This window comes from Homo sapiens, chromosome 9 (genome assembly GCF_000001405.40).
Source record: "Homo sapiens chromosome 9, GRCh38.p14 Primary Assembly".
Classification (NCBI taxonomy): Eukaryota; Metazoa; Chordata; class Mammalia; order Primates; family Hominidae; genus Homo; species Homo sapiens.
In genome coordinates, this window is record NC_000009.12 from 70,817,914 (window position 1) to 70,831,296 (window position 13,383).

A 13,383-nucleotide genomic window follows, 5' to 3' on the forward strand; every position below is an offset into this window, starting at 1 on the left:
ATTTCAATCATGTTGACGTTACTAAAATATTTTTGGTTTTTTTTGGAACTGTTATTTCTGTTATAATAAAGTGACTGGGTCAAGTCACTTAAACTTTTTTGAACATTTGTTGTGCACAACATTAACGTCAGTGTTGGCGTCAGAGACATTGGTAAATTTATTGAGGATGTCAGTGGTGCTCGCTAGATAACCTCTGTCAGATTCCCATGACAAATTGTCTTCATCATTTAACAAGAGAAAACTACTAACACATATAGGGTTTTTACTATATAGTCCAGGGAAATGAAAGACATATGCCAGAAATGGAATGTGAATTTTTGAAAAGCATGATTCATGAATTTATTCATTCACTCAAGATTTATATTAGCCCCCTGGCCTATTTTCAAAATAATTCTCAGTAATTTATAGATTATATGTTAGAGTTCTCTTTGCATTCAATTTAGTAACTCTTTATTCAGCTAGAAACTTGATTTATTAAATGATATCCTGGGCAATGCCCTCGAGTTAGAAGGCTGTCCAGAGACCCGCAGGTAAAGCGCCCACATTTCTGGGCCCTTGCCTCTCCCCAAAGTCAGCTAATAACTGTGGACTGTAGGATTTCTCTGCGCATCAAGGACTCTGACAGGAAGGTGCTCAGCTTTGAGCACATTTCTGGAGTCCCTTAGCCTGAAACATATAAAGCAGTGGTGCTAAGAGTGGGTGCGGCCGAATTGGAAATTCTGATCTAATTTACTTCATGAGTTAGTTCTGCCTGTTAAGCAAGTCAGTGTGTCTCTTCCCATGAAAAACAGCCTCCTACAGCTATAATGGAAGAAGGTCAATTTAAGTATATTTAGTTTTCAAATATGCTGAGAGCTCTAATACAGACAATGACTTTTGTCCTCATCTGGGAGAGAACAGGTTTAAGATTCAGTGCAAGTGAAATTAGATATGAGGAAGAACTTCCCAATAGCAAGTGGCATTAGGATTTGAAGGAGGTACCAGGGCTGATGTCCGGCTTGCTGTGGATTTAGGACGCCAGAGCCTTCACAGGTTTGTTAAATACATATTTTGAATCTCACTGCCATTCACTAGTAACATTTCCTCTACATATGTCTTTACACTTGTATAGGCTACCTTAGAAGGGTATGGTCTTGACAAGTGAGGAGAGGGTTATGGGAAAGATTTAGAAAAAACAAAAAGAAAACTCAGGGTAACATGCTCCGAGTAGTGTTTCCTAAGAGATGCTGTTGGTATCTGGGCCAGGCGACTCTTCATGTGAGACTGTCCTGCATATTGTAGGATGTTAACATTCCTGGCCCCTCTCCCATGCCATTAATAAGCACCAGAAATTGTGACAACCCCAAATCCCACCTCTCACATTTTAAAATGTCTCCCAGGGGAGGCACATAATCATAGATATATAGGTGTGTTGGCTTAGGAACTTTATAATAAAACATATTTTTGCAGATATTTCTAAATACCAATATCCTCAAATACCAAATTTGATTATATTTTATGAATCCAGCAATCCTTTCTGCTACTTGTTTACTTAGAAATGCTAAGCCCAGTTTAATCTGCTGCTTTAGAGAAAGGTACTCTAGGTGGCTTCAACAGATGAGACCACACTCAAATGTCAGATATTACTATAGGGTAAAGAAAAAAACAGAGCTTCAAATTCTTCTCCAAGCAAACTTTGAAAGTAGCAAAAGCACTGGTTATGGAAATCAAAACCTACCCAGACACTCCATCAATTAATATTGCAAAATAGGTATATCTGTAAGGTCTGCCATGGGGAAATAATCCCTTAGACTAGATTACATATGACATAGATTTCACTTTCAAGTAGGGAGATAACAAAGTCAGAAAATTCTAGCCTCATAATGAAATTTCCTATACCCAAGGTTGATGTTCACAATATAATCAGATGTGCAATCCAAATAAAGTTTCCATTCGGCCTAACCTAAAATATAATTCAAAGACAAAGGAATAACACCTCAATCAAATGGAGCCTGAAGACAACTAGATTTCTGTCCTCTTCTTCTAATTTTTTTGAATAAAATGGTAAATCACAAGAAAAAATCTGATATTGACTCAAATCTAATATTTCAAAATATAGTCTCGGTCAATTCATATTCAGCTCAAGTTCCTACACCTCCAACAAGTCGAGTACTCAAAAATCCTAGTGCCATTTATGACTACTCTAAGACACTGATACAGCTTGGATTTTTAAAGAAAGCTTAATTTTTCTCTATTATTCTCTGTTTACTGAGGCAGGAGGGACAACTACAGTTTAGAATATATTTCTTATTGCTGCAGTGACTAAGAAATTAAATTACTCTGTAACAAATAATAGAGGCATAATGATATGCAGCACAATCTAATTTTAAGCCTCCACTTTTCCCTTTGAACCTTTCTGTAACTAAAGAGAGTATAAGACTTCTCTTTAACAAGCAGAGCCAGGTTATGATTTGTTATAGGACTTTTTTTGTTTGTTTGTTTGTTTGTTTTTGAGACAGAGTCTCGCTCTTGTTGCCCAGGCTGGAGTGCAATGGTGAATTCCTGACCTCAGGTGATCCGCCCACCTTGGCCTCCCAAAGTGCTGGGATCACAGGCGTAAGCCATTGCGCCGAGCCTGTTATAAGACATTCTGATGAACACCTTGGGCTCTGATGGGCTTTGAGAGAGAAGGTCCAAGTCTCAGGTTGGAACCTATGGCAGTGAGGCTGTGTAGACATGGCACATGGCACTGAACCGCCAAGAAGGCAGGAAAGGAATCAATGTTTTTGAACTGCCACATGACAGAATCATATCTCGACTCCTTTAATCACAACGACTCCTTTAATCACAACTCCATCTGTAAGCTAGGGAATTGTTATCCCTAGCTTACAGATGGAGAAATAAAGTCAAATACGGTAACTTGCCCAAGGTCACAGAGCCCTGACAATCTCAACTCCCAGGCTACCTGCCACTGTTACTTTATGTCACTAGCAACAGACAAAGACTTCCTCTTCTCCCAAAAGTTATACTCTTCTCTTTAAACCCTTAAAAGAAAGTCACAATTGCTGAAGATCTTTCTAATCTTGAATTCTAAGAATTGCAATGTAATATTCATTTTAAATAGTTTTTGGCTAGCTGAAAGTCGAATTTGCAACCAGAAAAGATGACTGTTAAATCTTTAAGATAAATTTCAGCATACAATAGTGTATTTCTTAATTTTTATTTTTTGAAAGAATTGTTAAAAAATTCTTAGACTAATATTTGCCATGATGCTGCTACTGAGTTAAAGAAATATTTTTAAGATCTAGCCTATGTGTGGCCAACATTGGTTTAAAAAATGCTTTTGTACTGAAATATTTATAAAGGAAATGATACGCTGTCTGGATTTCCTTCAAAATTATTCAGAGGTGGAAGTAGGTGGGTATATGGATAGAGAAAACAAGATTGGCCCAGGGCTGATAAATATAGAGGCTGGATGATAGCTGTAGGGTGGCTATAATAACATTTTTTAATAATAACAATTTTATAAGATTTTTAAATTCTTATCAGGATACATAGATGCTACTTTCTGGAGTAGTCCCTTGGTATCCACTCTTTAAGCTAACACATGTTTATTAAGCAGCTACTATGTTTCCAGCAATATATTAAGTTGGTCGAACTTATATAAATATCTGAACAGTAAAATAAATATTAAAAATTATTTATTATGAACCTGTTTACTTAAACACTTTCAAGGTGTGAGTCACTTTTGATAATTTACTTAACCATCTCTCTGTACATCAGTCTACTCTTTTAGATTAATGATTTTATGTTCTTTTAAATGTCAGGCATAACATTTTTTTCATTCATAGACACTGATGGTACTTTAGGGATACAGATATACAGAGAATAAATCAGTTTCTTTCTCTTGCTTCTCCATCTCTCTTTCCTACTTGCCAGGTAAAATCCCAGATTGATGCCTATTCTACCACTGTAACTGAACATGGCTGGAAAAAACCATACAACTCTGATGATTCATGCTGCTTTAAATTTACAACCACAAATACCAACTGTGCTGCATGAGAATTCTAAATTTTCCTAGTCTGTTCATTCTCCCAGTCTCTAAACTGACTGTAGTTGTTTTCTGTCCCTAATCTTCAACACCTTCTCCTCTTACACACTCCTAGCCAATAAGCTCCTGTATTATTTTATGTAGATATAGAAGCTATGTTTAGAGAATCACCTTATCTTTCCACCAGAAAGTGTCCCTTCCTACCCACATCTGTGCCCGTAATTCTCTGCTTTTCCTCCTGTTCTTCATTTGTGCATGTTCTTTATTTCTGCGTGGAATCTCACCGCTTCTCAAAAACTTTGTACAAATTCCCTAGAGACTAGTCCTCAGTCCCTTTCTTTTCTGTAAACACTCCTTAGGGGCTTTCATGTTGTCCCATTGTTTTAAGGACACAGTGGTGTCTCAAAGGATGACCATGCATCACTCTTGAAGTGTCTATTCCTTATCCTGAATGCTCAATTCAATAGCAAGCCCTCTTGAGCTCTATTTTCAAAATATATCTTAGGACAAAGATTTTATAATGCCATTTATATGAGGTACCTAAAATAGGCAAATGCATAAAGATAGAAAGTAGAAGAGTGGCCACTAGGGGTTGGGGGAGGGGGTAATGTGTAATGGGGAGTTAGTGTTTAATGAGTACAGAGTTACAGTTTGGAATGGTGAAAACGTTCTGGAGATGAATGGTGGTGATCATTGCACAAAAACAATGTAAATATATTTAAGGAAACTGAATTGCACACTTAAAAATCATTAAAATGGTAAATTCTAGGTTATGTATATTTATTTTACCACAGTTTCAAAAACAAAGATTTGTCTTGTGTGTGTGTGTGTGTGTGTGTGTGTGTGTGTGTGTTCCCCAAAGTAAGTCCCCTGGTATTTGGGTCTGTGCCTCTCTCCTACTTCGTACTCCAGACTTCTCCCTAACTGGGTCCTTGCTTGTCAATATGCCCATGTGTCACTACCCACCTTGATAATCTAGCAAGGGCCCGGTGTTTTCATGAATGGGATGTGATGTGTCCCTGACAATCTACCCCAAAACTAGCATCTGATGGTGGCTTCTCCAGCATCTCTGGCATCCTGACCATCTGCCGTGGCCTGCTCTTCAGCTCTGCACTGCTGGCCTCTCCTCCTCACGGAGGCTAGGCTGCTGCCCATGAGCCTCTCTGGGCTTCCCCTGCAGTGCTCCCCCCGACCCCACGCACACACACATACACACACACGCAAAATCCAACCACTTTCTACTACCTCCACTGCTGCCATCCTTTTTCAAACCAGTTATCTCTCACCTGCATTATTGCAATAGCCTCCTGAAGGCATTTCCTTGTTTTTAATCTTGCTCTCTACCTCAGTCTAATCTCTACGTACTATAGCAGAGTGATGTTTTAAATAATTAGGGAGACCCTGTAATGTCCCAGATCCAGTCTTGGTTAGAATAAGCTCCAACTCTTTACCAAGCTTTCCCCCGCTCCTCACTGAACACCTGGTGGCTTAGTTCCTGCTTTCACTCTCCACAGAATGCTCTTTCACAGCCAGCCGCTTGCTTCATTCAGGTTGTTGCATAAACGATACCTCCTCATAGAGGTCATTCCTGATCACCTAATAGAAACTGTCCTCCCAATGCACACGTGTGCATGCACACAAGTGCACTGATAGATGCTTTACTCTGCTTTATTTTTCTCGAAAGCACTTTTTAAAAACTATCGGCCATCACACAGTTAGTCATTTTCTTACTTATTACTATGGTTGCCCCCCTTGATGTAAGCTCAATGAATTGTTAATTGTTGCTATTCTAGACCTTAACCATGACTGGTACTTAGTAGGAATTCGATAAGTATTTACTTACTAAAGGAATGACTGAAATTGTTCCTTGCATATTAAATTTGAAGTTTAAAAAACTGTAGATGGAAGAGCATTGTGAGGCAGGTAACTGCTCATGTCTGAAAGGCTTCTCTTTTATAAACAAAGCCCATCACTAACTGATGATGATGTTTCAGTCCTGACTGTTGGCTGTAGGAATGCAATGGGAGAGGAGGGACAATGAAAGTCAGAGTGTGGAGAAAAAGGTCAAACACTGGTGCTTGGAGTATGTTTTCAGTGATCATTGCCATGTTGATGAAAAAGCATTTATGAGTCTCCTGAACAGGATTCATTTAATGTTTAGGGGAAATATTCTTCAGAAGATTATACCATTTATGTAAGAAAACAGGCTCGTTGATAGGATACTACAGTATGCAGGTCACCCCTAAGTGATGAGGGGGAATGGAACTTTAGCAAGGAAATGCTGAGGGGCGTTCATACCTCCCTGGGGCCATCCTGAGTGTAAGAGGTGGTAGACACTGTTATTGTGGCATAGTGTTTCATTTTCAGGAAATTGAATTACACATTTGTAAATTAGATTTCCTAAACATCTGAAGCAGGAAATGAAAAAGTAAATGGAATTTTTAGGATAAACTTATGGAATAAAATTTTATCCTTTTAATTTTTTTATTTTATTTTTTTTTTGAGATGGAGTCCTGCTCTGTCGCCCAGGCTGGAGTGCAATGGCATGGTCTCGGCTCACTGCAACTTCCGCCTCCAGGGTTCAAACAATTCTCCTGCCTCAGTCTCCCGAGTAGCTGGGATTACAGGCACCCGCCACCATGCCCAGCTAATTTTTGTATTTTTAGTAGAGACGGGGTTTCACCATGTTGGCCAGGCTGGTCTCGAACTCCTGACATCGTGATCCACCTGCCTCGGCCTCCCAAAGTGCTGGGATTACAGGTGTGAGCCACTGTGCCCGGCCATAAAATTTTATTTTTAAAAGGAAGAACCACAAAGTGTCCATGTTAGAAAGTAGATTTGCTGTTCTAAATTGCTGACTGAGGATTGCATTAAAGGTTTGTATTCTTCTGCCGTTTTTCATGTTAAGACCAGGTCCGCTTTTTGCCTGTCTTTGTGTCTTTGTCAGTGCTGTTCTAGAGGCCTTTGTGTTCTCAGTGAGCATTTTTTGCTGTTAATTGAATGGAGACCTCAAAGGTCCTGCTTTACCTACTTCAAAGAGCCTGGGTCACTCCCTACCCTCTAAGGAGCTTGCTGCTCCATCCGACTTTGGGGGCTGAGTACAGTAATGAGGGAAGTTGACCTAATGACTTATGAGTCACTCTCTTGTAGGGCGACCCATTATCTCAGTTTGCCCAGACTGAGGGGGCCCAGGGATTTGGGACTTTCACGGCTAAACCTAACAAAGTCCCAGGCAAACTGAGACAAGTTGGTCACCCTACCACTATTAAGTTCAGGGGTAGAACTGCTATAGGAGCTAACTCTTGACATTCACTACAGCTCATGCACAAATTCCTTACCTTGGGCCTTTTTACTTCCTGTGACTTCAGAATTTCTCTTGGGCTTTTATAACTCTCCTCTTACCATTTAATTATTAATATATTCACTGGAAGAGGAGCCTGTGGGTCTCTATGAAGCCACAAATACAGTCCCAAAAGTAAGTCCCGTGGTACCTGGATCCGTGCCTCTCCCCTCCTTTGTACTCTAGACTCCTGACGGGCCCCTGCTTGTCAAGTGCCCATGTGCCACTACCTGCCTTGATAATCTAGCAAAGGTTTGGTGTTTCCATAAATGGAATGTGATGTGTCCCTGATGATCTACCCAAGGACTAGTATCGGGTGGTGACTCCTCCAGCATTCCTGACATGCTGACCATCCACCGTGCCCTGCTCTTCAGCTGCGTGCTGTTGGCCTCTGCTCCTCAGGGAGGCCAGGCCACTGTCCATGAGCCTCCCTGGACTTCCCCTGCAGTGCCATCCATATATGCAGCAGCTCTCCCATTTCTGAAGAAAGTCACCCCTTCAGGCACGTACATTGCAAAAGGGTACTCCCTCTGGGATGATCAATTAGAAAAAGGAACCCCCTTCCTCTAGGCATTCTGGAAGGTGCCAAAGTTTGACTAAAACCTAGGCTCTGGCTGGGGTTTTAACTCCAGCTCCCATCCCCTTTGCTGGGTGTGTAACTTACACGAACACATCCCTAGGCCTGCTACCCACACTACTGGCTAACCAGCCCAGCTGCCACCAGGGCCTGCCACAATGACATGCTTTGCCTCTCTGGACCGATTTTGTCTTATTACCAAGTACTGAACTTGACCCTGAATTTATTCCTTGTTTCCTTGCTCTTATCCTCTTCAGCTTCTAGCTCAGTCCTATTTAAGCTCTCGTTCTTAACTTGATGGTGTACAGAAAGTCATGCTGCAGCTTATAAAAACCTAAATAGATAACACTGATTACATAACATTTGCCCATTCTATCAAGTACTGTAATGGAACTCAATTTTAGTATTTACAGTAAAACCTACCACCCATTGATCACAGTGCTTTGTTACATTTGATCTCTGCTGGTCTCTGTATATTTTCTAGTCTTTTCTACTCTTTTTGTTTCCAGAAGATGTTCACCTTGGGATAATAACACTTGTGTTTCTTCTTTCCAAAGACAGTTTGGGAAGGAAATTTCGTAATATAATTTTTATTTCAGACCTAGGACAAAATTTATTATTTCAGGTTTCACTGTGAAAAATATGAAACCATGAAACATGACACTTAAACAGTAGCAGTCCCTAAAAGGTGGGACCAGAAAAGAGAGTGTAGGAAGGAGAAGCTGTGGTCTGATAAATCTAACATCCCTGTTTTTGGAGGAAGGTGGCGATGGCAATGAAGACCCATTTGGGACAGGTGCAGAGAAAAATCTAGAGAAGGGAAAAGTCATTTGGAAAAGTTGAATCACAGTACATAGAACCTCTGAAAACTCATCTAGCCAAAGGGAATCTTTTGTTCTTTGGAACTGTAGACTTTGGAATTTCAATCAATTAGATCAAAGTTTCCCTGATGGGACATCTAATTACCACAAAGTTTGAGCTTGCCATGCATCCTCACCTGTTACTTTATAAAAACAAATAGAATTTTATTTTGTGAGGCGGGACGGTAGATTGCTTTCATACCTAAATTGCATTTAAATGCAAGCCACTTAGTGATCTGGGGAGCATTGCTGTTTTGATGATGCTACCTTTCACAGTTAAAACAAATGTTTACACAATAAATACAGCAAATAGAGATTCCTATGCGCTTAAGAGATAATATTAGCGTAACTATGTACTATGTGGTTCACATATACATCTATCTATATCTAAATCCATATGTATCTAGAGACAATGAGTACATACTTAAAATTCAGACAATTAAAATTTCATGAAGATAGTTTCACATGATGCTTTAGCTTAGAGAGTGAATGTTCAATTTCTTTGAAATGCCTTTGCACAGCTAGATCGTTGCTAAGTTCAAAATCTGATTCTTTTGCTTTTCTGTTTAGCCACCAAAAAAAGCTTAATAAATAGAAACATTGTCTCTTAATAAATAGAAACATTTCTGTTTAGCCACCAAAAAAAGCTTAATAAATAGAAACATTTTCACATGATGCTTTAGCTTAGAGAGTGAATGTTCAATTTCTTTGAAATGCCTTTGCACAGCCAGATCGGTGCTAAGATCAAAATCTGATTCTTTTGCTTTTCTGTTTAGCCACCAAAAAGAGCTTAATAAATAGAAACTTTTCTCCTTGGAGTACCATGCAGATGATGAAGGAAAAGTCTGAAGAGAAAGCTTATCTGCATACACATACCCCAGATGGAGTTGAATTTTTCACACATGATACATAAGCTGGAGTCACTAATTGTGTAATTACTTCTTACGCCTCCAATTGTTCTCCTCTGGATGGCTTCCTCTCATTCTAAGCTCTGGCCCGGTAGAAATAATGGTTCATGTTTAAAACTTGCTCAAGTTTTTATTACATTGCTGCATGGTGTACTTAAAGTTATTCACTTTCAGCATACCTCCTACGAGCCATGCCAGTGGGAACAACCGCTACTTACTTGTGTTTATCTTCTGGAGTGAAATATGCTTTTCCAGTTGTCTTCGAAGTTTCACCTCTGCTCCATATTTTCCAGTGGTCCCGTTGTCAGCCAGAATGAAGTGGGAATGCATGCTGTTGAGAACAGTGAGCTTGCTCATGGGATTGGACATGGTCTGGTATGGCCGGACAACCTGCAGGGTATCAAATGGAAGAGGCAGAAGTCAGAAAAAAAGAACACAAGATATGAAAAGGAGAATCAGACAGAGGAAAGAGAGGAAGAAAGAACATCAGTTCTGTGGTACAGTGAAAGTACAGTCTACATCTTCTTCTTAGTATTGCTTTGGATAGAGGCAAGATTTATGGCAAAAGTTATTCAAAGCAAGACTGTGCTTAAATGAGTATTTATTTATTTACTGAAATGGGGCAGAAAATAGAGATGGTGCTCTCATTGTACTAAAAAACTGGCATGCCAATGATTGTTTCATTTTGAAGTCAACCTTGTATTTGCTAATGATCCCAAAATAATTTTACAATCTAGTTATTTTGTTTCTTTCCTTTCTCTATCATGTCCATACTTTAACAGGCACAGCAGAACAATTATAATTCTGGAGATGGTGGCGGGGAGCTAGGAGAAATGTGATTCTTTCTGTCAATCTCATTCAGTAATTTGAAGGTCTCTTATTTAAAATCAACATTATTCTTACTAGATACCTTATTTAGGTGGAAATCTTGAATATAAAATAATTGTCTCATGAGATAGATATGAATCAGGCCCAAAATGTTCAACTCTGTCTCATTCTACCTTTTTTGTTATTTTAATTTCATGGTGAATTACACTACTTAAAATAGAGCAATTTCAGTGTGGCCTTCCAGATTTTTTTTTTTTTTTATAAAAAGAACAGCAATACCTATTGCGAGCTAGTTGCTCTATACATGTTATCTATATTCCTTGCGACGATCCTGCAAAATAGATGCTATTGTGTTCATTTTGTAGGCGAAGAAACTAAGAAATGGAGAGGTAAAGTAAGTTTTCTGAGAGTCTACCACACACACAATCAGAATTCATACCCAGGACTGCCTGATTCCAAAATCTATGCTTATTTTTCTTTCCCATACTGCTTAGACCCAGTGGAAACATAAGATGATGGGTTGGAAATCTACTCCTAAAATATTTAGGTAAGAACTGCCCTCAAGACTATAGAAAGAGAATATTCAACAGGCTAATTGCTACATGGTCTTAGTACAGCTATCACTGTATTGAATCATCAAAATTGACAGGAAAGAAATAAATGCTACCGAATTTTTATTTTTGTGCCTTTACAGAGTGTGTACATTAATTATAGAATTGAGATGCTCTTGTTCTTTTTCAGTATGTAATAACACACTATATAAAGCTGTAGTAAGATTGAGTAGTTTGTTAAAGGAATTACAAAGTGATTTATAAGAGCAGTCCTCAATAGTGAAGAACTCATGTAAGTCATTTTTTTAGACCTTGATTCTGATTCAAAATCCCACATTTCTATGTGTCTGGCAGATAAAATGTACTCAATAAATAGTGAATGAATGAATGAATAGGCAAACTTGAGACAGACATGCTTTTGTTCAACATTGAAAAAAAATCCTTTCTTTTCTGAATTGAGGATTGATCTCATTTAAATATAAAATGTGTATATAATTCTGAGCTTCTGAAAAAGGCTTCAGTCCTATTAATATATAGGACTTTTTTGTTAATGTAGCATTAATTTAATGTAGTATTGCTATAATGTTAATTTGTCAATGTAGCATTAATGTAGCATTTGTTAATGCAGCATTAATATAAGGTTAATTCACAGCTTCATTTAGTTGGCTCTTATTGATAAAAGAAGTCTATAACTTTTTGATTATTGTCTCTAGTAATTGCATGGAGCAGTAATCAATTACTGCTTTGTCTAGATGATTGCGTAAGAGTCCCCCGAAACACAGAGACAGTGGTTTGCTAATCCCATCCTGAGCTTGTTATCACTGGAAGAGTAGGTTGCTTGTGGTTAAAATTTCCATTTTGTTGCTACTTGTTTTTTATCATAAAACATTCATTCTACAGCAGAGTGCAAGTTAATAAATATTAATGCTTTATTGAAAGAGGCTCAGCAGAAAGACTCTCCTGTTCTTAAAGTGCCTCTGCATTGTGCTTGTAGACAAAAGAAAATGCTTTAGTTACTGTTCTCTCTTTTCTAGTAGCAGTTCCTGCAAGAGTCCTTGAGAAGGAGGGGTAAGACCAAAGCAGTCTGTGAGAGGCAGGGGACAGTGGGTTTTCGAGAGGTTAAACTGTGTGTAATAGTGAACACCGGGCATTTGTGCTGGCTGAGACGTAAGCCCATGTTTTTTAATTCCTATGAACATATTTAAAGACTATCAGTGAAAGTGAAATTTTCAAATGAATAAAGGAATGAAAATAATTCTCAGCCAAGCTGATGTATTCACCACAATCTAAGAATAAAAGAAGAAAATTAAATAATCTATATTCTATATACAGTATCTGTATTCTAAGGACGTGGGTGCTCCAGTCTTCTGACTTTTGACTTTCTTTTCTTGTGAAACATAGCTCAGCGGCTCTTTGGGAATACTGCACATCTGAATTGGTCATGGCAAAAGGGTCAAATTTACAGTTTCACTCATGAGTTTCAATTTCTTCATCTTACTGATCCCTATTTCTTTTGATCTTATGTGGAAGCCAGTCAAGTGTGGTCATATTTTGGGAGAGAGTTTGTCTGCTGAATAATAAGGGATAAAAATTGAAAAATAAGTAAAGTGTCCTAATTTAGTTTTCAGTCATCATTGGAGAAAGATGTGCTGAATCGTGGAATAATTCTGAACATATGAATTGTGGAAATTTGTTTGAATCTCAGTTTTGCTAATGACTGTGTGAATCTGAGTCTCACTTTTTTAATCTGTAGAAGGAAAATGATAAAACCACTTACCTCTTGGGGATTAGTTGAGATTATATGTGCAAAGTACCTGGCACTATGCCAAGCTCATAGCAGGCATTCTATAAATGTTAATTCCTTCTCCGGCTCTGCTCTATTTTACCAACTATAAGCCGATTTTTCAATTGTAAACTAGTGATCAAAATAAAATGATATGAGACAAATCAGTGACTTTTGTTTTGCACGAGATAGAAATCAATGTAAGTAAAGAAAAAAAAATCAGCAGTCTGTTGGCAAAATATGCAAAGTGCTTTTTCTTTGCCATGTCCTCCCAGGCATCTAAGAGGGTGATGGTCTGAAACTATTTGCTGATTACTGAAAAGTTAGAAATAACTTCCCAAATACCTCAAAGGAATACAGTTTGGTCTAACTTGCCTACAAAATCCATTTAATATTCTTCATAGCAAACGTACCAGCAATCTATTTTTGTTTGAGTTATAATTTACATATCTAAAAAGATTTGCTGATCTTCCCGTTATGCTTTCCAAATTAAAAAAATAATGTAT

The 13,383-nt window shown here is 38.3% G+C and overlaps 1 protein-coding gene across 23 annotated transcripts in view; it reads right to left on the minus strand.

Annotated features, from left to right (window-relative positions):
• TRPM3 (transient receptor potential cation channel subfamily M member 3) overlaps nucleotides 1–13,383 on the minus strand; it is a 917,912-nt gene that overhangs the window by 288,854 nt on the left and 615,675 nt on the right. For all 23 annotated transcript variants that reach the window (NM_001366143.2, NM_001366141.2, NM_001366142.2 and 20 more), the window contains exon 6: nucleotides 9,934–10,105. In NM_001366143.2, the coding sequence (NP_001353072.1) occupies nucleotides 9,934–10,105 (172 nt within the window). The remainder of the gene's footprint in view (nucleotides 1–9,933; nucleotides 10,106–13,383) is intronic.